Source organism: Homo sapiens, chromosome 10 (genome assembly GCF_000001405.40).
Source record: "Homo sapiens chromosome 10, GRCh38.p14 Primary Assembly".
Lineage (NCBI taxonomy): Eukaryota > Metazoa > Chordata > Mammalia > Primates > Hominidae > Homo > Homo sapiens.
In genome coordinates this window covers 10,932,810-10,958,516 of record NC_000010.11, presented here as the reverse complement: position 1 = coordinate 10,958,516, position 25,707 = coordinate 10,932,810, and the positions used below count along the sequence as shown (strand labels likewise).

Here is a 25,707-nt window from a genome sequence, read left to right as displayed (position 1 = left end):
AGGGCAGAGCAGCAGCTTTCCAACTCAGAGGCCCTCTGTCACAGTTTCTCCATAATGCTCCACATTCCCTGTGCTAGCTCTGGAGAATCCCAAGTTGGGGTGCAAAATATCTTGGGCAGATGGCTGGGTTTCTCACTTCCCTCTCCCTGACTCCACCGTTTGTTCTATTTTCCCCTTTTAAAATGTGGTTCATTCTAAAAGCAGATGAATTGGGACGCACAGGACTTCTGAGGATAGATCCCAGAGAATTCAGCTGCAAAGCCCAGGAAAAGTGATATTTCTGGGAAAAAGCCAAGCACAGATTTCAGCAAAACCTCTCCCTCATGCTTGAGCAAGTTTTTCTTTCTTGTTGAAACTTGTCAAATTCCCTTTATCCACCCTTCTCTCTAGACAGATGGACAGAGAAGAGACCAATACACGCTTTTAGTCTAAACATTTCTTTGATGAAATAGAGCTTTCTGCTAGACTCACTTACTTACGCCTAAAGAACCACTCACATTTAATTTGCTTACTTCACCCTCCACCTGGTGAAGATTTCATATACATTCCTTAAGTCATAGCGCTCCTCTGAAACACATAACAAAAATGGTGACATAAAATGATTTTCTTCGAAACAATCTGAAGTGATTCAAGTGCTTAGTTTCATATCATCTCACCATGGGATGGTGAGAAGAAGACTTAGCAGAGAATGTGATCCCAATTAGGAAGATGGGGAAAACCGATGAAAAACGTGGTTTGTGAGTTAAAGGGCCCGTGTTTGTCCTGACTTTCAAACCAGTTTCTGTTCACCAGCTACCAACTCTTTTGAAGACATGTGAGCAAGGAGAAGCTGGAGAATTTGGCCAATTATGAGTCATTTTACTACATCGGGAGCACAGAAGTGATCCTGAACGTGTTCTTCAGGTAAGAGGTTGCCCACTGACTTTGACCTCTCTGCCCTCTATCTAGGGAGAGGGGAGGGATGGGGAGAAAGAAAGACTGAAGCAATCGATGGAACAAATGCCTGGTGGTCTGACGGTTGTTTAAAGTAGATCCTGGTTAATTCCAGTAGGGTTTCTTCTGGCCTTAGCTCACATTGCCTCACAGGTGAATCAATTCATCCTCTTACATTCAAACAGAAGGCATCTGAGATCATCCTTCAGCGAGAGCGAATGAATCCCAGAGGAGACACATGCACAAAGAGAATGTTAATTCAATCACAGCGCTAATGTACCATTACCTGTAATGTACTTCTTTCAATAACTTTACCAGCACCTGAGGTCATATCTAAATACATAAATCGGTTTGAGTGAATTAGTGGGAAACTGGTTAAATGGTAAAGAGACTAAGACTTATTTGCGGAAATGTCAGGAACTCCAGAGAGGCACAGCAAAGAGAGGATTAGAGGAGAAGGTGGCTGCCTCTAAATACTTCCAGAGCTCCCTTGTGCAAGAGTCTACACTTGATCCTGAAGTGCTTAGATGTCAGAGGTGGGGCCACTCATTGGAGTTATAGGAAGCAGCGTTAGGCTCATTCTAAGAGGACCTGAAATCAAGGGCAACCCACTTTGAGCAAATCACTTTTTTTTCTTTTTTTTTTTTTAAGAGACGGTGTCTTGGTCTACCGCCCAGGCTGGAGTGCTGTGGTGCAATCATAGCTCACTGCAGACTTGACTCCCTGGGCTCAAGTGATCCTCCAGCCTCAGCCTCCCAAATAGCTGGGACTATAGGTGCACACCACAACACTCAGCTAATTAAATTTTTTTTTCTTTTTGTAGAGACAGAGATCTTGCTATGTTGCCCAAGCTGGTTTTGAACTCCTGGCTTCAAGCAATCCTCCGGCTTGGCCTCCTAAAGCACTGGGATTACAAGCTTGAACCACTGTGCCCAGCCAGCAACCCACTTTTGCGGGTCCCTTTGCATATGGCAGTTCCCTGAATCACCTCAAAGACCTGTCTAGTGGGTATTATTTAACACTATGGTAGAGAAGTTAACAGTGAGGTTCAGAGAAGGTAAGAAAGTGCTTTGGGTCACAATGCTTAAAAGCAGCAGAAACAGGATTAGATCCAAGTCTGGGCTGCTTCCAAAATTGTGGCCATCTGATGGCCTCCACCCAGGATAAAATAACTGCTAAAAAGGGAGAGAAATATGCAAGCCAATAAAGTACCTGGAACACTTCCCCCTCGTGACAGGAAAGCATTTTCTCCAGAAAAGCATTTTAAAGCCCTAACATTTTGATTATGGCACTCTCTTGAAGAAATAGAGCAGAGATACCATAAGCTTCCATTCTTCTTTCTTTCACTTCTTATTAAGGGTAGTTTTGTGGCAGCAATAAAGGAAAATAACTCAGTATCGACATTCAGTAAGCTCCCCATCAAACTTAGAGGAGAAACAGAAGAAGGATGTTGCTATAAAAATATCTGTAAACAGACCCATCCATATAAGACGAATTTAAAAGCCAGGGCAAATGGACTCTTGGTTGCCCTTTCTTCTCCATTTCTTTGTAACAAGTGTAATCTTTCCTGACTTAAGTCTGAACAATTCCAAATGATGACTTGATTTGCAGTGATCGACCTAGCAGGAACCAGGGGGCTCGGGTTAGTGTTTAAACTATTGTGGTCGGGCATGGGATGCTAGCAAGTCGCTTTGCCTCTTGGAGCTTCCGTTTCCTCTTGAGTAACTTGAAGGGACCCCTGTGATGCCTTTGACCTCAACCTGCATGAACACAGAATCTTCCTACAACAGTATCCTAGTGTCTGGTTCTTGTCTTATTATTGAAATTGCTGTATATAAGAGGAGTGGGTGGCTAAAAATACAGTATGATGAATCATGGTTCTGGGGGCAGACTATCTGGGTTTAAATTTCAGCCCCAGCTCACTTTACTCGCTGTGTGACCTGGGCGCAGTATTCAAACTCTCTAAGCCTGAGCTCCTGCATCCATGAAATGGTTATAGTAACAGTACCTACTCCACACAGGTGGCTGACGGTTGAATGAGTTCATACGTCGAGAATGTGTGCTATTATGGCTTCATTGTGTAGCAGTGGTTCTGAACTGTGTTTCGGGCTCACTCAAGGAGCTCTGAGATAACCATATGCAAAAGCTCTATTTCATGGGGTCAGATTCAATAGATCTGGGTTGGGCTTCAGGAAGCTGCAAAGTCCCTGATGCACAGCTAGAGGTGAAAACATCAGTCATCAATTCACATGAGGCCCCCAAAGGCAGGCGAGGCATACTCGCACTGTGTGGTTGAGTGGGAAGCACACACACTTTAGTTCCAGAAAGACATGAGTTCAAATACCGGCTTTGCAATTTCTTAGCCACGTGGCCTTGAGCAGGTTACCTATTGCCTCTGAGTTTGTTTTCTCATCAATAACATGGAGAGAACACCATCTTTCTGGCAGTTGTTGTGAGGTTTAAAGAGAGGTGAATGACAAATTTAAAGCCCTAGCAGGCAATCAATAAATTATACTTTAAAAAATACACATTTAACCTTACACAGATTGCTCAAACCAGAAGGAAAGATCACAGAAATAAAATTGCTAAGCTATTTGGAGCCTTTGAAATAGGCAGTTGACCTAAGAACTGTGGATTATGATTTATCTTTTTAAAACGATAAATGCATGAGCATATTATTTTTTTCTCCCTTTGGAACAAAAGATATAGCATATTTATGTATTCTTTGCTATATGCTGCTTTTTAAAAAAACTCAATCATATGTCTTATGGAATGTTTTCAAATCAGTAAAGAACATCATTATTTTTACTTTACAGAATCATAGTATTCCATTGAATTGATGGTTCATAATTTAACAAGTTCCTTATTGACAGGTGTTGAGGATGTTTTCTACCATTTGCTTCTACAAACGGTGCAGGATTAGATAACTTTTAAATAAGTCTTTTCGAACAAATGTGTCTGTGAGACAAATTCCTAGAAGTGGAATTGCTGGATCGGGAAAATGGTACATTTGACATTTTGTTAGAAGTTGCCAAATTGGCCAGGTGCGGTGGCTCACGCCTGTAATCCCAGCACTTTGGGAGGCCAAGGTGGGCGGATCACAAGGTCAGGAGTTCGGGACCTGCCTGACCAACATGGTGAAATCCTGCCTCTACTAAAAAAATACAAAAATTAGCTGGGCATGGTGGCATGCGCCTGTAATTCCAGCTACTCGGGAGGCTGAGGCAGGAGAATTCCTTGAACCTGGAAGGTGGAGGGTGCAGTGAGCCAAGATCATGCCACTGCACTCCAGCCTGGGCGACAGAACAAGGCTCCATCTCAAAATAATAATAATAATAATAATAATAATAATAATAATAATAATAATAATAAATAAATTGCCAAATTGCCCTCTATAGATTTTGTACCAATTTATGCTCCTATCCACAGTGGGAGAGGGGAGGCTGTTTCTCACCCCATCATTTACACAATCTGTTGTCAAATTTTCTGACTTTTGCCAATCTGATCATCAAAAAGTGGTATCACGATGGAGTTTAATTTGCATTTGCTTTATTAGGAGTGTGTGATGCATCTTTTCACATGTTTTAAAATAATTTCAATACCTTTTCCTGTAAAATGATTATTCATACCCTTTGCCTCTTTCTCTATTTGTCTACTAGTATTTGCTATTTTGATTTGTATCAACCCTTGATATATTTTCAATAGCAGGCCTATGAAATAGAGGAATTACAAATTTTTTTTCTGGTTTGTCATTTTTTTTTTTTTACTTTGCTTGTGATGTTTTTGTTCTGTATATTTTAGTTTGCCAAGCAGAATTTCTCAAAATGTAGCTGAATTTATCTAATTTTTCTCTTACGGCTTTTGGGTTTTGTCTGATGGTTTCAAAAAGGCTTTCCCATTCTGATATCATGAAAGAATTCTCCCATGGTTCCTTCTAAGTTTATTATTTTGTATTTTTCATTTAAGTCTTTGATCCATTTGAAATTCATCCTGGTGGAAGGTATGGCTCTAACTTCTTTTTAACTGGGTGAATTGTATTTTTTTACACTTAGAGAAGAACAATATACAAGAAAGTGTAGGTAGGATTTATAACAGCAGTCTTGAAGATTTCAAGCAAAGAGAAAATGAACAATTATTCTTGTTAGATAACTTCAGCAGCTAAATTTCTTTTGGGTGTGAAAGCACACTCAATATTCTTCTCCCTCTCCTTACCAGTTGTCACTCATTTACCAAAAATATTAATCTGAACAGTGAATTGAGCTAAAAATTATAGATGGTAATTATAGATGGTATAGAGTGAAAGTTTCTGAAATGACATGAGTGATGGACTGTATTTTCCTCCCTTGCCACGGAATTCTCTTTTGTGGGCATCCTATCTCCTTGATTTTCAATGCTTTAAAAGCCTCAATGCAATAACAATATAATCATAAAAGCTAATTAGTAAAGATTTTGTGTCTTGTTAATGATGTACAATTGATTGTGGCTCGAGGACAGAACGAGAGTAACCATTCATCCATGATGAGCATTGCATTTTATCTTCTCACAATGTGAAGGTGATGGCATTTTTATGACTGTGTTTCCATTATGGAGACATCTGAACCAACTCACCAATCTGTTCTGTAGCATCATCTTTTACTACAAGCAAACCTGAGCCCTTTAAAAATGTAGAGATAATTCTGGATGCCTGATTACGGGAGGAATGAGGAAAATTAATTACATATGGACCAAATGGTGAAAAACAGTCAGGCATCATTTATCTATTCTATCTTTGCTTAATTTCCTTTTTCAACTACACTTCTCTCCTATAAGGCCATTGGCCATAATTACATTATACAAATGGCTGATTAAAAATAAACTTAAAGCAGCTCCTTAAATAACTACAATCCCCCACCTCTTTTTTTTTTTTTTTGGACCATCTCATACTCATTAATTCTTTATAAATAAATATATGTAGATAGACACAGACATGCACAGATGTTAAAGTATCTATTTATATAGAGAAGGAAACACCCTGTGGAGACTCTGGGACTTGCCAGGAAAAGCTACTCTCCGGGAATCTATTCTGCTCTAACTTCCTCTCCTGAGTCCAATGGCTGGAAGCCTTCATTCCTGACTTCCTTGCTCGCTCACTGTCTTTCTTCTCTTTTCATAATTTCCTCCTCCACCTCAAGAGGCTCCAGCCCTGAAGCCATGCACGACTGTAGCTCCTATCTTTGGGGTTTGGTCCAATACCCCATTTTTCAAAGGCATGGGAGTCCGGCTCTTTTCAGAGTTGGTCTGGATCACAGAGCTGTGATGAGAAAAGTGCATCATGGGTGCGGAACTTCAGGGGGGAAGGATAATGAGTTTGTTGTGACGTGGTTATTTTCTTAGATCGTACAACCAACGTGGTAATGCTGGCATAATAATTCCCGGTTGCCATTTTCTGACATTTGAAAAGATCTGAAGATACGCCCCTTGGATGCCTGCAGAGAAGCTCTGGGGCTTCAGTCAATGACTCAGGGTAGCCACCGAACATGATGCTCGGGCAGTGGGTGCCACCTGGACTCCACTCTCCCCTCTCTCTGGGATCATAGAGTCCAAGGTGTTCTGTGGCCTCTCGGCCAATCCCAGCAGCTCAGCGTGCAGAAGACCGAGGAGCCATTGGTCAGTGTAGGAGGTGCCTGGAGTTTTGGAGATGGGATCCACAGGTCTCTTCACACCGAACGCCTCTTCCCCTCTTGTGCCAGCTTGATGCTGACTTCAATATGTTTGGGCTGCTGGGCCCATGGGAGGAGAAAGGCTGGGGGTGGGTTGTGTAGGTGGATAGAACACAAGGCATCTCTTTATTTCTTCTCCTGTCTTTCTAAGTAGAGTTTGATTTAAATGGAAAAGCATGAACCTTTTTCTTTCTTCTTTACTCAAGGGCTGGCTCTGATGGGGAGACACTAGGCGAAGTGGAAAGACTGAACACCGGGTGAATTGGGAGGGCTGTGGTTTTCAACCTTTAAAACTAATGTCCTTGGAGGAGTAAAATGGCATGGAGCCATCCTCAGCCACTCAATCACCCTTCCCCTTTGCTGGTGTCTGTTCACCAAACAGAAACTTTTTACAATGAAGGGCTTGAATATTTGATACTATAAAAATCTTTTTTTTGTGTTGGAGAAGGGCCAGGTGTAGTAACTCATGACTGTAATCTCAGTGCTCCAGGAGGCCAAAGCAGGTGGATCACTTGAGCCCAGGAGTTCAAGACCAGCCTGGGCAATGTGGCAAGAACCCTGTCTCTACAAAAATATAGCTGGGTGTGGTGGTGCATGCCTGTGGTCCCAGCTACTCAGAAAGCCAAGGTGGGAGGATGGCTTGAGCCCAAAAGGTCGAGGCTGCTGAGAACTATGATCGTATCTCCAGCCTGGGCAACAGAGTGAGACCCCATCTCTAAAAAGAAAAGAAAAAGGAGGATGGTGCTGAAGTTGAGTTCCGAGTGGTTTGAAGAATTTGTTCTGATGGCTTTGGTAACTGGTTTTTGTAGACGCCAAGTGTCTAGCTAAATAACAAATCATGAAATAGAGGGGTCTGAAATTGGGACAGGAGCTATTTTCATGAGTTACCACAGTCCTATCATGAGAGAATAACCACTACAACATACACACACCACAATGCTCAAATCTGACTGTTCTTAACTTTGACTGCCAAGGTGTTTTCTGTGGAAATTCTCCTTTGGCTCAGCACAGGCCTAGATTTCCAGATGCCAAGGATGACACACTTTTTGCAAGAGGCATTTTGCAGTAGAGGCGTATTTAATACATGCTGATAGCTGCTGCTCTTCTGTCTTAGACACTTTAACTGAACTTTCATATTTTGTACTTGTGCCCCGAGGCAATTTAATCAGGAAAGTTGCAATGCTATGTGCAAAAATGATAAATAAGTAAACGATATCTAATTTCCAAAAGAGGGCAGCAGCAATGGGGAATCGTGGTCCCCAGAGTCCCTCTTCATGTCACCCTCATGAAATCCTTGCAATTCTGCCATTCTTCTATATGTCCCTGAGTGAGGCAGTCCCATGATAAGGCGCTATTAAAGAAATCATACGTATCCCCTCGCACACACAGAATAAAATGAACATTAAGAACGGTATCACTTCCTCCTGCAGTTATCACTATTTATGAGACCATCACACATTTCCTTTGTCTTTATCCAGGTCCCCATGTGAAATCCTGACTCTTTGGAGCCCTTTGCCCCATTTGTTCAGACCCAGACCTCGCTGGGACCACAGAGAGAAGCACATGAGAGTGGCCATTCTCTCACCTGCACCTCCCGTCCTCAGACACACACACTGCACTGGGTTCTTCTTAGTAATGACCTCTGGGGTTCTAGCAACTCCAAGATTCAGAAACCACGGTTCAGGCCCTGGCCCTTTCCCAGTGCAAACTTCCTGCCTGTCTTCAAGAAGACAAGGTCAAGGTAGGGAAACCCAGGGAAGCTGCAAACCCTCAACTCGCCTCTTGCAGCCAGGGGATAAACTCAGGAATCAGGGGAGAGAGGTGTGATGATACATGGTCCCAGGCATTGCCAAGGTAATCAGAGAAGACTGTCAAGCAACCAAAGGTTAGAAAGGGAATGCTGTGCCCTTTTAGCATTGAAAAAGGCAAAGTTCCATCGACCTGAAAAGAATGTGAGTGTCTCAGGTAGACAAAATAAGGGTTTTCAGCCAAAACTGATCCAAGTCATGTAAAGTGAGTTTGAATTTGTAGGTGAGTTTTTTTTTTTTTTTTTTTTTTGGTGTGTGTGTGTTTCGTTTTGTTTTGCGACACAGTCTCACTCTGTTAACCAGGTTGCAGTGCAGTGGTGTGATCTTGGCTCAGTGCAACCTCCACCTCCCAGCTTCAGGTGGTTCTCATGCCTCAGCTTCCCTAGTAGCTGGGACTGCAGGTGCCTGCCACCAAGCCTGGCTAATTTTTTTTTTTTTGGTATTTTTAGTAGAGATGGGGTTTTGTTGTATTGGCCAGGCTGGTCTTGAACTCCTGGCCTCAAGTGATCCATCTGCCTCGGCCTCCCAAAGTGCTGAGATTACAGGCATGAGCCACCATGCCTGGCCTCTGGGTGAGGTTTTTAAAAGACAAAACAAAACTTAATGCATTCCTGCTTGAGAAGCTTCTGCCACCCTCCTCTGCGGCATGATGGCCTCCACCATGGCACTGGGTGTCCCATCTCTCTTATCCACAGTGGTGACGCCAGGTCTGGGGAGATCACTAGAGGCACAGCCCCACTGGAAGCTGTGCCATCCACATGACATGAGTGGGGTTTGGGGACTGATACGTTGCTCCGGAAAGTGCAGGGGCTTTGGGAGTGGCACAGGGATGAAAGGAGAGAGAATATGGGAAGGGGATGCAATGGAGAAAGCTGAGAGGAGGTGGCCTTGGAGACGGAGGGAACACATGTATAGAGGACCCCCTCAAACTCCAGGAAGTCAGACTTCACATGCAAATATCTTCACCCTGAATTTCCCTTCTCTCTCTCAGAGATGGTCCCCTCACCTCCTCCAATTCTCTCTGGGTAAATACTGCTGTCACCTGCTGTTTGTGTGTGCGTGTTCATTTGGGGGAACCTAGGTCCAGGCAGTGTCTGGAACATGTGAAGGAGTTGCTCCTCCTTCTCCACACTCAGGAGCAGGAAACTTACCTTTTAGATGGGTACAGAGACAGGTAAGCGTTTTTGCAGGAAGCCAGAGCCAGCCAATGCCAGCAGCAGAGGAATTCAGACAGGGTTTTGATCACGATAAGAAGGACCATGGAGAGTTTGAAAGACCCCAAGATTTAGAACGTAAAAACATGATAGCCACCGTGCAAGAGGGTCTGCCTGTCTTAGGGATATGGATAGGTAGAGAATGAAGAGGAAGGGCTCAGAGGTTCCGACTATTGTGCAGAAAGGAAACCATGGAGCTTCATGCAAAGAGGCAGCCCTCCCAGCCTAGGGGGGCTTCATGTAGCCTTGGCTTCCTGAACATTCTTGAAGCCTCCTGAAATGTTCAGAAAACAACCAATTTAGCCAAAGGTTAAATTGAAGCCCACAAATTTATATAAAGCTTGATCAAATAGCAGAACATCAAGTCTTAGGCCCAACACAGAAGGTACGTCATCACAAGAGAGGGTGTGGCTTTGACAGCAGCCCCCAAATTTAGAAACCATCCAAACCTTTCCCTCCAGAGCAGGGCGCTCTGGGCCTAGCTCAGAGGACATGCTCCTGAGGCTAGCTATTTTTCTGCTACTACTCTGGCTAAGAGAGACATGTAAGGGCTGGATGTAAACTCCCAGAGGGCACCTCCTGGGCTAGAGAAGATGCAGCATGAGCTCAGGTGGGAAGCAAGGTCTGTGTTGAGATACTGAATACAGGACCAAGAATACAGAACTGGAGGACTATGGGTGAAGAAGGTGCAGACCAGGCTGTATTATGGAAGTGGTTTCCATCCCTCTCTCCATCCATGTGAACTTGCCCACTTTCCAGCTGTATGATCTGATGAGCCCAGGTTTCTGGCAAAATACAGAGGCCCAGCCCCTCTGGAATGTTTAAATTTCTGAATTAAGAAAAGTGGGCACCCACACAGTGTGTCCAAACCTACATCCAGCTTTCTCATTCCCTTGCATGATCTGTACATATCTAACACCCCAAGGGCAATTCTTTGTGATTTTTCTACCATGCTTGGACGTTCTTGCCTCAAGCTCCTATGGGATCCCACCTCTCCTCTGCTGGCTTGCTCCAATACACTCTTCATGAAGACTTTCCTATGGCCCCATACTAGAAGCATTTTCTCTCTCCTCAAATGCCATATTTTTCTTCTGTGGTGAAGATGTGTGTATGTGTCTTCTTACGCTACTCATGACCTTGAAAGCAGAAAGTTGAAGGTATTCAGGTGTCTAGCGGGGATTACACAGTAGGCACTCATCCCCTCATACATTTCTTTATTCTGTAAACTTGAAAGCCAGGCATTGTTCTAGGCACTGAGGACACCGAGGCAATAGGACACTGATTTCCTCTTTCATATGCTTGTTAGGAATTCAACACAACACGAAATAATCAACAAATTCGGGGAATGTTAATCTGACCATCACCAGTTACAAATGATGTTTCATGCTACCTTCTATTCCTGCCTTCATAAATCAAGGTAATTACTTGGCAATCTGGCTATGCCTTGTAAGGCAAAAGAGCTGTTCATTTCTTGTGTCAAATGGTGAACAGGGAGGGAGAGTAAAATGGTAAATAACCCTGCCTCCCATCTGTGCCCAATCAGCTCTAAATCTCCAGGAAAAAATGTGCTCAGGATGGCCAGAGAAATGTCCTTCCAACTGTGCATGGAAAGGTATGATTTTGTGCAGCAGGTGAAGGACTGGTTAGAGTAAGTGTGTGCTGAGCTTTTGTGTTTGAAAGCGAGCCTGTGCACTTCTAACGATTGGAAGGTTTCCTTGCCTTCTCCGATCTTACACACAGCAAGGACAGCAAAGCCTTCCAGACCTGCCTGTGACATGCACTGCACATTCTAAAGATGCCTATGCAATGGAAAACACCACTGTCTGCTCCAGCACAGCTGCCATTCTTCCATCTTATCGACCTTAATGCAACAACTCCTCACAGGCAGAGATTTTAAAATGTGTTCTTGGCAGAAGAGAGACTCAAAGATGGGACAAATGTGTCATTTAAATGCCTGTTAAAATGGAAACAGACATAGTATAGTCAGAGGATTGTGGCAGCTAAGAACATAGTCTCTGGAGCAAATCTGCATGGGTGGCAATGCCAAGCACATGAGGTCCTAGTTGTATGAACTTAGGTAAGTACAGAGGGTTCATACTTCTCTATACCTCATCTCTAAATGGAGTCAATAAAAGAACTTACCTTAGAAGTATTATTGTATTAAATGAATTAACATTTGTGAGGGGCTTAGAATAGTGCCTGGGAGTCACCATGTGAGTCTTTATTAAATAAAAAAAAAACACTAAAACTTTATCTCTTTAGGAAAAGAAAAAGAGAACATATATCCCCCTACCTTTTGATTTCCAACAGTCTACTGAGAGGCCAAGATTATTTGCAGGGAAAGAAAAGGGGTAAGTTTTATCATATACAGTACATTTTTATGCTTACTACTCTCTTAAACTGAAGGAAAACATCCAAAGAGGGAAAAAGGAGTCTTCCCCAAAGGCTACTTAAATAAAACCTGAATAAATGAAAGCTCTGTAGGTAATTTAACCCTCTGGATGGAATGACACAATTTCTACACCCTTAATGAGTATCACGTGCATTCCAGTGGGGAGAGAAATTCCCCAAATTGGTCCTCTTTATGCCTTGTTTCCTTCTTGATGTGCAATTTCATCTTTCTGGAGCTCATATAAATCTCTCCCAGCCTATATTATCTTCCCATTATGAGCCAGAGGCCATAATGACAGCCACCTGTTTTAATGACAGAGCCAGGATGGCATCATTTTCAGCAGAGTGTTGTTAATCTGGGTAACCTTTCCCTTCAGGAATGCCATCCCCACCCTCTCGCAGCTACGTGCCAGTTCCAGAGCACCTGTTCCCCTCTACTTTGAAAAGGTGAATTCCTCCCCAAGGGGGCTCCCCTGCCTACAGCCCAATCCCCTGCTACACAATTTGTATAAATCTTGCTCTTTTGGTCGCTATGGTTTTCTCAATCAAACCAGCAGGGGGAAAACGTGGGAGGTGGAAACATATTGTTTGAGGGTAGGCATTAACATCCCATAATAACCCAGCCAGAAATTTGTCAACATCATTAACAGCCCCTTTCCTGGGGCTTCTATCCTGGAGTGGCTGCTGAGGGGCCCTCGCTGTTGACTCCCCCAGGACATTAGGTGTGTGGGATCAATGGTACCACAGGGCTCATGCCAGTGACTGTCAGCGACACCATTTACTACTCAGATACACCCAGAGAGGGGCTCCCGGAGCTCTGGCCGCCTCCACTGAGCCACAGTGACATTCACAGGCTCCCTGTACTGCCTAGATGGCTAAACATGGATTTCACCTTCAAAGCTGTGCTGGCAAGCCCACCTAAGTCAGGCCCAGGTAGTTCTCGGCTTGTCTCTGGTCCTGGACACACAGTGTGGTGTAAACTGGAAATCAAACAGGCCTCGGTGCAGAGCTGGCTCTTCCTCTTACAGGGTGGAAGGCCGCAGGTGGGGCTTGTCACTTCCCTAACAAAATGCTATGGTGCCTATAGGTGGCATATGCTGGGGTCTGGCCGAGAGCAGGTACTCAGGGCAAGTTACCTGCTTTCCTCCCTCCCATGATACCTAAGACCTGCTCATCAGCCAAGGCCCAAGGCTACTGCATGAAGCCGAAGGAGGGAAATGCTGTCAGCTGCCCCCTCCACCAAACAACCTTGTCCCCCTGCTTCTATGCTGGGTCCCCTGGCAGCATCCCCACTCCTGGGTTAGCACCTACGGCTCCCATCCGTTCTTAGGCTGAATGTCTAAGACTCTCTGATGTTCCAGTCCCACACATTACTCTGAATCCACACACTGCTTTCCTGCTTCCATCCTTGTTCAGATGGAAGCCTGGGCTCTCCTCTCAGGCTGATCCTGTCTGTGCCCTGGATCCCATGCCCTCTTGCCTTCTCAGGGACTCTGCCCCCTTCTCCCCTCTCCTGATGCCTTCTATGCATTTAGATGAGTAAGTTTCTCCTCTCTTTAAGAAACATCTGGCTGGATGCAGGGACTCATGCCTATAATTCCAGCACTTTGGGAGGCTGAGGCAGGCAGCTCACCTGAGTTCAGTTGTTCGGGACCAGCCTGGCCAATGTGGCGAAACCCCATTTCTAATAAAAATACAAAAAAATAGCTGGGTGTGGTGGTGCACACCTGTAATCCCAGCTACTCGGGAGGCTGAGGCATGAGAATCGCTTGAACCTGGGAGGTGGAGGTTGCAGTGAGCTGAGATCACGCCACTGCACTCCAGTCTGGGTGACAGAGTGAGACTCTGTCACAAAAAAAAACAAAAGAAAAAAAAATCCTCCCTCCAAGTTTATTCTGTGCCGCTCACTACCATTCTTGTGAGGGGACCTCTCTTGCCCCCTCTAAAGTTGAGCTTCTTAAATGAAATGAAGTTCCTATATTTGCTCAGTTCCAGCTCATTTCAAATCCACTCCACCCTGGCTTCCTTCTTAACTCAGAGGCCAAGGCTGCTTCTGTGTGCACCGCTTTCACCTGATCCTTAGTGCCTGTGATGACTGTGGACTAGTTCAGATCCTCTGCTCTTCTCATGCAAAATATTTTCTGCAGGTCAAAATGTTTTGCCAGTAACTCCCAAATCATCTACAGCCAAGGAGAAAAGTGTTTCAAGACAGAGGTGCTCAATGGTATCAAATACTGCCAACAGACCAAGTAATACATGCATTGAAGTGTCTACTGGATCTAGCTATATGTAAGTCACTGACAACTTCTGTAAAGTTTTTGTGGTGGGGTAGGGACACTGCAGATCAGTTACCTAAACTAGTGAGTTAAAGTGACTTACAAGGCTCAAAGTCACACACCTAGATAGACCCAATACTAGAAAAGAGACTCTTCACTTCTACTATGTTATTTCATAGTTAAGTATGGACTCAGCTTGCCTTCCCTTGTGAGGGTAGAGAACTACTTTTTAAGGCATGGCTGGTCCACCCTCACATGGTCAAGTTTCAGAGTCATATTAAAGAGCAATCTTGGGGCTGAGTGTGGTGGCTCATGCCTGTAATCTCAGCACTTAGGGAGGCTGAGGCAAGCAGATCACCTGAGGTCAGGAGTTTGAGACCAGCCTGGCCAACATGGCAAAACGCCATCTCTCCAAAAACAAAACAAAAAAAAAGCTGGGAGTAGTGGTGTGTGCCTATAATCCCAGCCACTCAGGAGGCTGAGGTGGGAGAATTGCTGGAACCCGAGAAGCAGAGGTTGCAGTGAACCAAGATTGTGCCACTGCACTCCAGCCTGGGTGACAGAGCGAGACTCTGTCAAACAAACAAACAAACAAAAAACAGAAAAGAGCAATGTTTGGTAGCTGATATAGCTAGTTCTTCAAGAACAGTGTTTTGCCTCAGGCTCCAGAGTCCTTCTAGAGCATCTCAATCTTTCCTAGCACATGCCTAGATCATAAGACTTTGATTCCCTATCCTAATCTGCCCATCCTTGTAAGAAATATGCACATGAGTTTCTGCTCCTCCCATTGTCTGTAGCTCTTGGGTCCACATGGCTTTTTCCTTCCAGAGGTCAACTAATACTCTTCCTTTGGCCCCATGTGGGAGTTCTGCCCCTCACAGGTAGCAACTTGATAGCGATACTCTTACCAAACGCTAGAGGTTCAGTCTAGGTTTCATTGCTGGCTGCACAGAAAGCCAATCACTGAGACAAGTATTGCCAGGAAGAAGACCTTATTCAGATGACATCAGTTGGAGAGATGGGAGATAAACCCCAAATCTGTCCCCTCCCCAACAATAAAGTTAATGATTTATATAGACAGGAAGGACAACAGGAGGGGCAAGGAAGAGGAGTTGGTTAACAGGCAGCAGGTGCATTTCATTGTACAAATATAAGTTTCTGAAGCTTCAATTCCATGGGCATCCCGGCTTGTTGGAAAATAGTTCAATACTTGTGGGTCCTGCCCTGAGCTTCCCCTTGGCTTAAACTCTGGTTCCTTTTTGGCCACAATGGGACTGTTGCCAATTATCCAAGAAATAGTTAATCTGATCATCATATTTTCTTGACCCTATGATTTAGTCTTCATTCTCAAGGTATTAATCCACATCACCACAAATAATTAAGAATTTGTCCTAAAACTTAGCATTTATTGCATCAAAAATAACTCTCCATCATATAGCAATTTTAGAATCAAGTCTGCGTATAAAGCATCTAAAATGGCCCCCAGTGATCCCTACCTCTTGGTATTCATGTCTTTGTATAATCCCTCCTTTGAATATGGGCTGAACCTCATGACTCATTTATAATGAAGAGAGTGCAGTAACAGGGATGGCATGTCATTAGATTAAGTTACAAAATGACTATGACTTCCATCTTGTGGCCAGATCTTATTCTCTCTCTTGTTTCTTACAATGGAAGCCAGCTTCCCTATGGAAAGGCCCACATGGCAAGGAAGTGAGGGTGGTCCCAGGCAACAGAAAGGCAGGGACTAAGGCCCTCATTCCAATAGACCATAAGAAACGGAATCCTTCCAACAACTACACAAATGAGCTTGCAAGCAGATCCATCCACAGTCAAGTTTTCATAGCAGATCACAGCCCCCTTGACTGCAGCTTTGTGAGAGATGGTGAGGCATGAGTGCCCACCAAAGCTGTGCCCAATTTCCTGACCCCAAGAAACTGAGATAACAAATGTTTGTTGTTTTAAGCAGCTAACTTTTGGAATCATTTTTATACATAAACAGATAACCAATATTGCATCTAAGCTAACCCTTTTGCATGATCCAAGAGTAGAAAAGAATCACATCCAAGACAATTTTTTTTTTCCTGAGGCCCAAATCAAAATGAAGACAGAAAACTATGTTGTCAAAATTCAAGCATGATACATGATAACAAACATGATGTTATGAAGATTATTAACTTTTGATTTTTTTTTTTTTTTTTTTTGAGACAGAGTCTCACTGTCACCCAGGCTGGAGTGAAGTGCTGTGATCTCGGCTCACTGCAACCTCTACTTCCTAGGTTCAATCAATTCTTCTGCCCCAGCCTCCCCAGTGGCTGGGATTACAGGCACCTGCCACCACACCTGGCTAATTTTTGTATTTTTAATAGAAAAGGAATTTCACTATGTTGGCCAGGCTGGTCTCAAACTCCTGACCTCAAATGATCCAACCACCTCAGTCTCCCAATGTGCTGGGATTATAGGCATGAGCCACTGCGCCTGGTCAACTTTTGATTTCTAAGGTTAACTATTAATAGGAAAGTAACACGCATATCCTTCTATTCCTACTATCCCAACTGAGTAAATGGAAGAGACGAGTTGTTGCTGCTTGCTGGGTGTCACTTGGCTGTTGTTTTCTCTAGCTGATTTGGGCAGATGCAAAGTGGCTCTAGGATCCAAGTGCAGCGTTAGCATTAGTGAACTCCCAAAATATCTTGTTTTCCTGGGGTAAATTTACTTTATAACTACTACCACTGCCAACCAGAAATTAAATCAATAAATCAGTATGAGGAAATTGTCAAGAGGAGCTGGGAGTCCTGCGAGAAGAAACCAAGGGTTTATGGACTGAATTCCCACACTCCTCTGTAGCTGGCCTGCCACCCAGTTCCAGGGTCAAGGGAGGCCTAGAGAGGGGGATGGCATCAGGACCCTGGGGGCAGGAAAACACTCCAGCACTCTCAGTCCAAGTTGGCTATGGTGTCTCCGTAGCACATTTCTTCACTCCTCCAGAAAAAAAGAGAAAGTAATCATTGCCAAGCTCCTTCTGCTCTTGTTTCTTGCAGGGAATATGTATTTCTAACTTATTAACCCTTTGCAGATACTTTACATTTCTGCATGCTCAATGCTGCTTTTCTGTGAGCCCCCTTTTCCTCTGGTGTTGTTTCGCTAGAACAACATCACTCAGGACCCCGTGAAGAAGATAAAAGATCACCCTGACTATAAGTTATGAAGTTAACACAGTTGGCATACTTAGATGTTTGGTAGAGAAATGGCCTTTTGAGGTTTTACATTAGTACTACAGGGTAATTCACTGAATCATGTAGAAATCATGATTGCTACAAAAGTTACAGATGATCAAAACCATCAAATAAGCCAAAAACATATATATTTTTGGAAGGAAAAGCTCTCTGCAACCCTTCTTCTCCCTACCCTTCATGCCACACATACATACACTACACATATGAACACATTGAGATTTATGCTTGGCCAGACAGACACACTCTCAGGTTACAACTACTATGTACATAATGAGAGCTACCAGAATAATAAAGGAAAGCAATCCCATGCTATTCCTAGATGTTTCTATGTTTAGTGCCATGCATTTAAGATAGCCATATGAGTTACTGAATTTTGTATACTTCATTCAAATATGTTAGTAGAACATAAACAAAGCCATTTGTGTGACACAGAACCTCTTGACACTTGTAAATGTCCAAGTGACAATTTTTTCATTTTTGTCTGGATGCTGGACATCATCCTTACCTCAAAAATGCACTCCTCAGTCCACACTACTCCTTTCCCTGCATGACAAAGGAGCAAGTTAGCTGCTTTTGTGGGACTTAGCAGGGATTATCTACAGTTCTTCAATGATTCATTGAGACCTATGAACTGCCCAGAACACTGGGAACTGATTTATCTTGAATAATCAAACATAAACATATGCTAATCTTGTAAAAAAACAAACAAAACAAAAAAACCCGGGTATAACTATTGATGTGAAAAGTATAATTCCCCCAAGTGCCACCCTTTAGAGTTAAGGTAGCTGACATATAGAGCTATGTGCTCTCTCGTGCCAACCCTTTTTCTTTCTTTTCCCACCTCCACACACATAATAAACCTGGCAAGCATAAAATTTAGATATTAGGTTGGGGACCCTAATCAGAAGTAAAATGCTATTTTCAAAAACTATCTCTAATCATTGATCTGTCTATGGACGCTGCCTGACATGTTGCCAATACTGGCTTTTCTTTTTCTTTATTTTTTGAGATGGAGCCTCGCTCTGTCACCCAGGCTAGAGTGCAGTGGTGCGGTCTCGGCTCACTGCAAGCTCTGCCTCCTAGTATCACACCATTCTCCTGCCTCAGCCTCCCTAGTAGCTGGAACTACAGGCATCCGCCACCAAGCCCGGCTAATTTTTTGTATTTTTAGTAGAGATGGGGTTTCACCGTGTTAGCCAGGATGGTCTCGATCTCCTGACCTCGTGATCCGTCCGCCTCGGCCTCCCAAAGTGCTGGGATTACAGGCATGAGCCACCGCGCCCGGCCTGGCTTTTCCGATTCTGTTTGAATCATTCATTTTTCTCCTTCCCTCCCTTCATTGAATAAACACTTATTAAGAATTTGCTAATTATCAGCTGAGTAGGGTGGCTCACACCTGTAATCCCAGCACTTTGGGAGGCCAAGGTGAGTGGATCACCTGAGGTCAGGAGTTTGAGATCAGCCTGGCCAACATGGTGAAACCCTGTCTCTACTAAAAATACAAAAATTATCATGGCGTGGTGGCTTATGCCTATAATCCCAGCTACTTGGGAGGCTGAGGCAAGAGAATCGCTCGAACCCAGGAGGCAGAGGTGGCAGTGAGCCAGATCACACCACTGCATTCCAGCCTGGGTGACAGGCGAGACTCCGTCTCAACAACAACAACAACAACAACAACAACACCACAAAACAAAAGAACTTGCTAATTATCAAGCACTACAGCCTAGGTGATGGGGTTACAATAGCGGCCACACTGATAACTTGCTAATTATCAAGCACTACAGCCTAGGTGATGGGGTTACAATAGCGGCCACACTGATAACTTGCTAATTATCAAGCACTACAGCCTAGGTGATGGGGTTACAATAGCGGCCACACTGATAAGGTGGAGACTGTCAGGGCCCTGCCTATATGACCTCAGCCTGCCCTGAAGGTCGTCTGCAGATCCCTCCCCAAGAAGCTTGTGGATCTCAGGCTTTCTGACTTTCAGAGAGGGATTTTGCTGCTGCAGGAGCGCTTGGCCTAGGCATGGAGAAAGACAGATGCACACAAGAGCAAACACCCCTGGGGTGACTTCAACTAGCAAGAGGCAGGGCAGATGGAAAAAGACAGCTGCTTCTGCGTCCCTCGGTGGGGCAGTGCTTCACGGGGTCCCCAGCGGGCTCGAGCCTGAGTTGTCCAGGCACTAACCCACCTACACTCAGGCTTTGCTGACCTCCCCCATTCCTGTCTCACATCCCCCTCCCTCATGTCCTTAGACTCAAATTCTTGTCTCAGGATCTTCTTTGGGGAAATTCAGTGAACCTACAAACTCACTTGGGAGACAAAGAAAAGGACCTCCAAATTGTCATACAACTCCTGTTTTCCCCCAAGTAATTCAAATAGCAGAATGCTAAAATAATTCAAGTTGAGAATCTTCTAAACTTGAGTTGCCTGACATGTTTGCAATGGTATTTTAACATATCCCTCAGTGTCACAAAAATCCATAAAATGTTCATTCAAACGAAATTTGAAGGACACAAAAACCCAGGCATATTCTCTGAAAGAATTATCATCTGATGCCCAAAATACAATGCTCTTGCATTTTTCATTCTCTAAATTTAAAGATAATCCTTTGGTATTTGGGTCTTTGGACTGGCTGCTCTGTTCAGCCCTTTGTTAAATCTAAATAACATTTCCTATACTGCAAAATAATATAATACCTTGAATCAAACCAGTTGTTCTTGGTAAACTTTACTTGAATGCTATTTTTCATCAACATCACATGCCCATTAGAAAACAAAGAACAGCTGGCTTTTCACTAAAGTGATTAGTTTTCTATGATTGAATTCTGCATATTCAGTATTACCCATCTCCCCTCTATCTCTCTTGAGTTATTCCAAATTAGATTTCTATATCTAAGATACCTCAGTTTACTTTAGTTGAGGGGATAGACTGAATGGGAATAGAGTCGAAAGTAGAGAAGAATTTTGCTTCTCTAATACTTTTCAGTTCATATGGAGTAAATAAAACAAAGACAATTTTAACACCTGTGCAGTCAATAAATGTCAGTTTCCAGGAATCAATTTCAAAACTATGGTTAATTCATAGTCCCTCTTTCCCTCCCTCCATATATATATATACATTCATACACTATCATGCTATCTAGACTTACACTGTCTACAGCCACTGATACAGAATGAGAACATCTAGGAACTCAATTACTTCACACAAATAACACTTCACATTGGTAAAATAAACACTAATATAAAAACTTCTGTCACTCTGTCAATTATAGCTACTCATCACAAACTCAGAATTGAAAGTCAAATCTTGATTGATACTGTATCCTAATATGATACTGTATCCTAAGCTCAGTAACAGAATATTGCCTTTCTCAAGTTCTTTTCAATCCACAGGATTCCACAGCTGTTTTATAGTAACTCAGAGTTTGAAGAGAAATTACTCCTGCAGTACCAGTTTCCAAAATGCTTTGTAGCATCTTCTCAAAAAACAAATGGGAAGAAGCCAATCAGAAATAAGGTAGAATTGGCCAGGCACGGTGGCTCATGCCTGTAATCCAGCACTTTGGGAGGCCAAGGTGGACGGATCACCTGAGGTCAGGAGTTTGAGACCAGCCTGGCCAACATGGGAAACCCTGTCTCTACTAAAAATACAAAAATCAGCTGGGCATGGTGGCACTTGCCTATAATCTCAGCTACTTGGGAGGCTGCGGCAGAAGAATCGCTTGAACCTGGGAGGCGGAGGTTGCCTCCCGGTGAGACAAGATTGCACCACTGCGCTCCAGCCTGGGCAACAGACCGAGGCTCTGTCACGAAAAAAAAAAAAAAAAAAAAAAGAAAAGAAAAACAAAAAAGAAGAAAGAAGGTAGAATAAATAAAAGCATTACATTCATTCATTCATTTTTATTGAGATGTAATTGAAGCCTAAGCATCAAATTCTTAAAGCTCCGGATGAGAGACTTGGCAAGTGTCGGTTACTTCTTTCAAAGATGGGACTGGTGGCTCTGTAGTCGTTTGCTCCTCAAAGGATGGTCTGAGGACCAGAATCATCAGAAACCCCGTGGGAGCTTGTCAGAAATACAGAATTTCAGGTTTTGCCCCAGACCAGCTGAATCAGAACATGCATTTAAACACAATCCTCCGGTCACTTCCATAGCCACCTAAATTTGAGGAGCACCATTCTACACTGTGATATGCCAGCATCGACACTTGTTTCAGCACTTTGCTTTTGCTTGTTTCAGCACCAGAACAAGGTTATGGTGGAAAACGCTAGAAATGAAGATTTTGTCCCCAGGGATGGGGGATACAAGTTACCAAAGTAGTGGCGAGAAAAGGTACAGACAACCAGAAAGCAGTTAAAAGGGTTCCTGACTCTTCTGCCCCAAGAACAGGCCCTGCAATGATAACTGGACTCCATCCACCCCAAGAAAATGTTAGCTTGTCCAGTGATCCCACACAGTGTGGTCATGAGGACTTAGTTTCCACTGTCTGATCTTCAGCCTATTCATCTGTGAAACAAGGAGACGATGCAAAACAGGTTCCATGGAGCTCTAAGGTTCTAGGATTCTAGATACAAAAACTAACAGGCTGAGTGTATACTGCAGGGAGAACAGTCATGTAACATGAGAATTTTTGCACAATTATGCAGATTACTCTGTGATCTTGGACAATCTTTATGTTAAAATGTGATTATTGCTCCATTCAAAGTAACCATTTCTTTACCTTCTTTCTAACCTCTGCAAGACTTATTGTTTCTTTCTTTTCTCTCTCTTTATTATTTTATTTATTTTTTTTGTGAGATGGAGTCTCACTCTGTCACCTAGGCTGGAGTGCAGTGGTGCAATCTTGGCTTACTGCAACCTCTGCCTCCAGGGTTTAAGCGATTCTCTTGCTTCAGCCTCATGAGTAGCTGGGACTACAGGTGTGTGCCACCACGCCTGGCTAATTTTTTTTTTTTTTTGTATTTTTAGTAGAGATGCGGTTTCACCACGTTGGCCAGGCTGATCTTGACCTCCTGACCTCAGGTGATCCACCTGCCTTGGCCTCCCAAAGTGTTGGGATTTCAGGCGTGATCCAAGAATTTATTATTTCTTTCTACTTTACAAAAGTCAACTAGAAGGCACATGCATATCAGAGAAGGGAGAAAAATCTATGAGAGAGTGGAAGAGAGAAAGGATGAAGAATTATAAGAAATATTTGCAGAACCACTGGATTATGAGAATTCCTAAAAATCAATGTGATACCATCTTGCTTTTCAGGGATTAATTCCTTTTGTAGCATTTCATTTCCCAATTATAAAGTAGGATTGTTCTTTATTATTGCTAGAAATGGGAACATATCTTTGTTAACTTCCCAGGCATCCCTGTATGATGTATGAGTGGCCACACACATTAACAAACAAAATGTGAAGTCCTCGTGGCTCAACAACCCTTGGGATGATATGCCATATTAGTTACCAGCCACTGTATGACCTATTTTCCCTTACCTGTTATGCCTAAGTTTCTCTCAAAGCACTGTCTCAAACTCATCTCTGCTCTTTTATAGGAATTTTTAATTTAGGACACTTAGGCCATACTGAAGCAAGGTGACAAAATGAATAGCTACAATGTCTCGTGAATCTTGGGTTTCCATTCACCCTGGTATTCAAGAGAAATTCTTGCATCATGGAAGTTGCAGTTGGATAGGACTTTCTCAGCTGAACACTGTCATCTGCCAGAGCTTCAGGCAAGAACCCAGAACAGATGAAACCCCAGACATGACAAAATAAGCCAAAGAATACCAGGCCAAGGTGTGAAAGGCCAGATGAGAACAAGCAGCGTACACGATTCTGTTGCCAACAGATCTCCCCTAACAGTGTCGTGCACCAAATTTCCACAGTGAATGTCAGGAAAAAATGGCAATTGAGGTGGGTGGTCAAAAGAGAAGCACAGTCTATGATGAAGTCACCCCAGAGAAGTCCTTTTTCCGTTTTCTCCTGAGAAATTACCAGAAGAAATTAAAATCCTTTTGAGTATTGCATTTATCTCTGCAGTAACATTATTTTTTCTTAAGGAATCTCTATCAAATTTGCATCTTGTCTAATTTAGCAGGGAATGTCACCAGGATAAGACAACTGCAAAACCCATTTGGGTGTGCCAAATGACTTCAACCGAACCTCCATGCAAACAACATACAAGATGCTTTCTTACTAAATGCTCAAACATCAAGTTCTACATCCAGAACTGCCCCTCAACCCTCACCCTCTCGAACTCAGTAAAAAACAACCCTCTTTCTAGCTCTGCATTTCCAATGAATGCCTCTTCCTCCAGACATCCCTAGTTTTTGTTCATGATACTAGGACATTCCTAAACTGGAAATGTGAGAATCATGTGGACTGCTCGCTCCCTCCTTCATTGCCTGAGTTTAAGCAAATAATATTGATTAGTTTTCCCCAATATTTTCTGTAATCAACTATTTCGTTTTTGTTTCTACAATGAGCAGTCTTGTTCATGCACCTGTTACTCTCACTTCAACCATTCAGAAAGATTCTTAGCTCCCATTTACTCATGAGTTCATTTGATGCATATTTGAGCATCTGTTGTGTGCTGGAGGCACTATGCTAGGTGTTGAGGATAGAAAGGTGAGCACGGTAGACTTGGGGCCACTCCTCGAGGAGTTTACAAGCTGCTGGCTCTTCCCACCATGATAGATGTTACAGATTACCATCAGATTAACCTTGCTAACGTGCTCTTTGAATTCTATTTTTAACCCTGTTCCAATGCCCCTACTGGTATTGAAAACAAAACAAAGCAAATCACAATAAGGTATCACCTCACCCCAATTAAAATGGCTATTACAAAAAAGACGCAAAATAAGAAACGCTGGCACTGATTGGAGAAAGGGAACCCTTGTATACTGTTTGTGGGAATGTACATTAGCATAGCCATTACGGAAATCAGTATGGAGGTTTCTTAAAAATCTAAAAATAGAACTGCCATATGATGTAGCCATCCCACTATTGGGTAAATATGCAAAGGAATTGAAATCAATACGTCAGGACATATCTGCACTCCCGTGTTCATGGCACCATTATCCACAATAGCCAAGATATGGAATCAACCTAAGCACCCATCCACAGATGAACAGATAAAGAAAATGTGGTATATATACACAATAGAATATTCTTTGGCCATAAGAAAATCAAAATCTGTCATTTTCAACAATATGGATGAACTTGGAGAGCATTATGTTAAGTGAAATAAGCCAGGCACAGAAAGACAGATACCATATCACCTTACTCATATGTGGAATCTAAAGAAGTTGATATGATAGAAGTAGAGAGTAGAATAGTGGTTACCAGGGGATGGGGTGGGGTGGGGATGAGAGGAGGGCACTGGGAAAGAAGGTCAATGGGTATAAAGTTACCGTTGGATACTAAGCTCTTGTTGCTCTATTGCATAATAGGGTGACTGTGGTTATAATAATATAAAATTATAAAATGTTATATATTTCAAAACAGGTAATTTTAAATGCTCTCACAACAAAGAAATGATAATTGTATGAGATGACAGATATGCTAAATACCCTGATTTGATTTTTGCACAATGTATTCAGGTATAGAAATATCATACTGTACCACATAAATATGTATAACTATTATGTGTCAAAATATTTTTTATATATGGTCTCAGTCTGTCACCTAGGCTGGAGTGCAGTGGTGCCATCATGGCTCACTGCAGCTTCAACCTCCTGGGCTTAAGAGATCCTCCCACCTCAGCCTCCTGAGTCACTGGGACTACAGCCGTGTGCCACCATGCCTGGCTAACTTTTGTACCTTTTTTTTTTTTTAAGAGACTTGGTTTTGCCATGTTGCCCAAGCTGGTCTTGAACTCCTGGGCTCAAGCATTCCTCCTGCCTCAGCCTCCCAAAGTGCTGGGATTACAGGCATGAGCCACTGTGCCCGGCCTTGTGTCAATTTTTTAAAAAGTAAACCACTTCTATCATTCTAAAGCTTTGCAATCTGGCTTCTATCTACTTTTCTAATTCATATTTCATTATTCTCTTAACAAACCATCTGGGTGAAACCAGTTGGCTGGGTCTCCATCTCCAGACACTCTACATTCCTTGCACTTTGCTTTATTTTTGCCCTTTCTGGTTGCAGAAGGGATA

General features: G+C 43.1%; 1 protein-coding gene and 1 long non-coding RNA gene across 29 annotated transcripts in view; one reads left to right on the top strand and one right to left on the bottom strand.

Annotated features, from left to right (window-relative positions):
* The window catches only part of CELF2 (CUGBP Elav-like family member 2), an 874,126-nt gene that overhangs the window by 378,159 nt on the left and 470,260 nt on the right, over positions 1-25,707 (bottom strand). For 5 of the 26 annotated variants that reach the window (XM_047424494.1, NM_001326319.2, XM_047424496.1 and 2 more), the window contains one exon: positions 18,063-18,100. The exons of the other annotated variants lie outside the window; for them this stretch is intronic. The gene's annotated coding sequence lies outside the window, so the exon portion shown is untranslated. The remainder of the gene's footprint in view (positions 1-18,062; positions 18,101-25,707) is intronic. 26 annotated transcript variants of the gene reach the window in all.
* On the top strand, positions 6,354-23,577 carry LINC00710 (long intergenic non-protein coding RNA 710). 3 transcript variants are annotated; one of them, NR_015413.1, is made up of 6 exons: positions 6,354-6,579; positions 10,961-11,071; positions 11,917-12,005; positions 12,423-12,492; positions 14,193-14,334; positions 23,104-23,577. It is a non-coding gene; the product is annotated as a long intergenic non-protein coding RNA 710 (long non-coding RNA). The 3 variants fall into 3 exon arrangements; NR_024410.1 differs by lacking the exon at positions 12,423-12,492; NR_024411.1 differs by lacking the exons at positions 10,961-11,071; positions 12,423-12,492.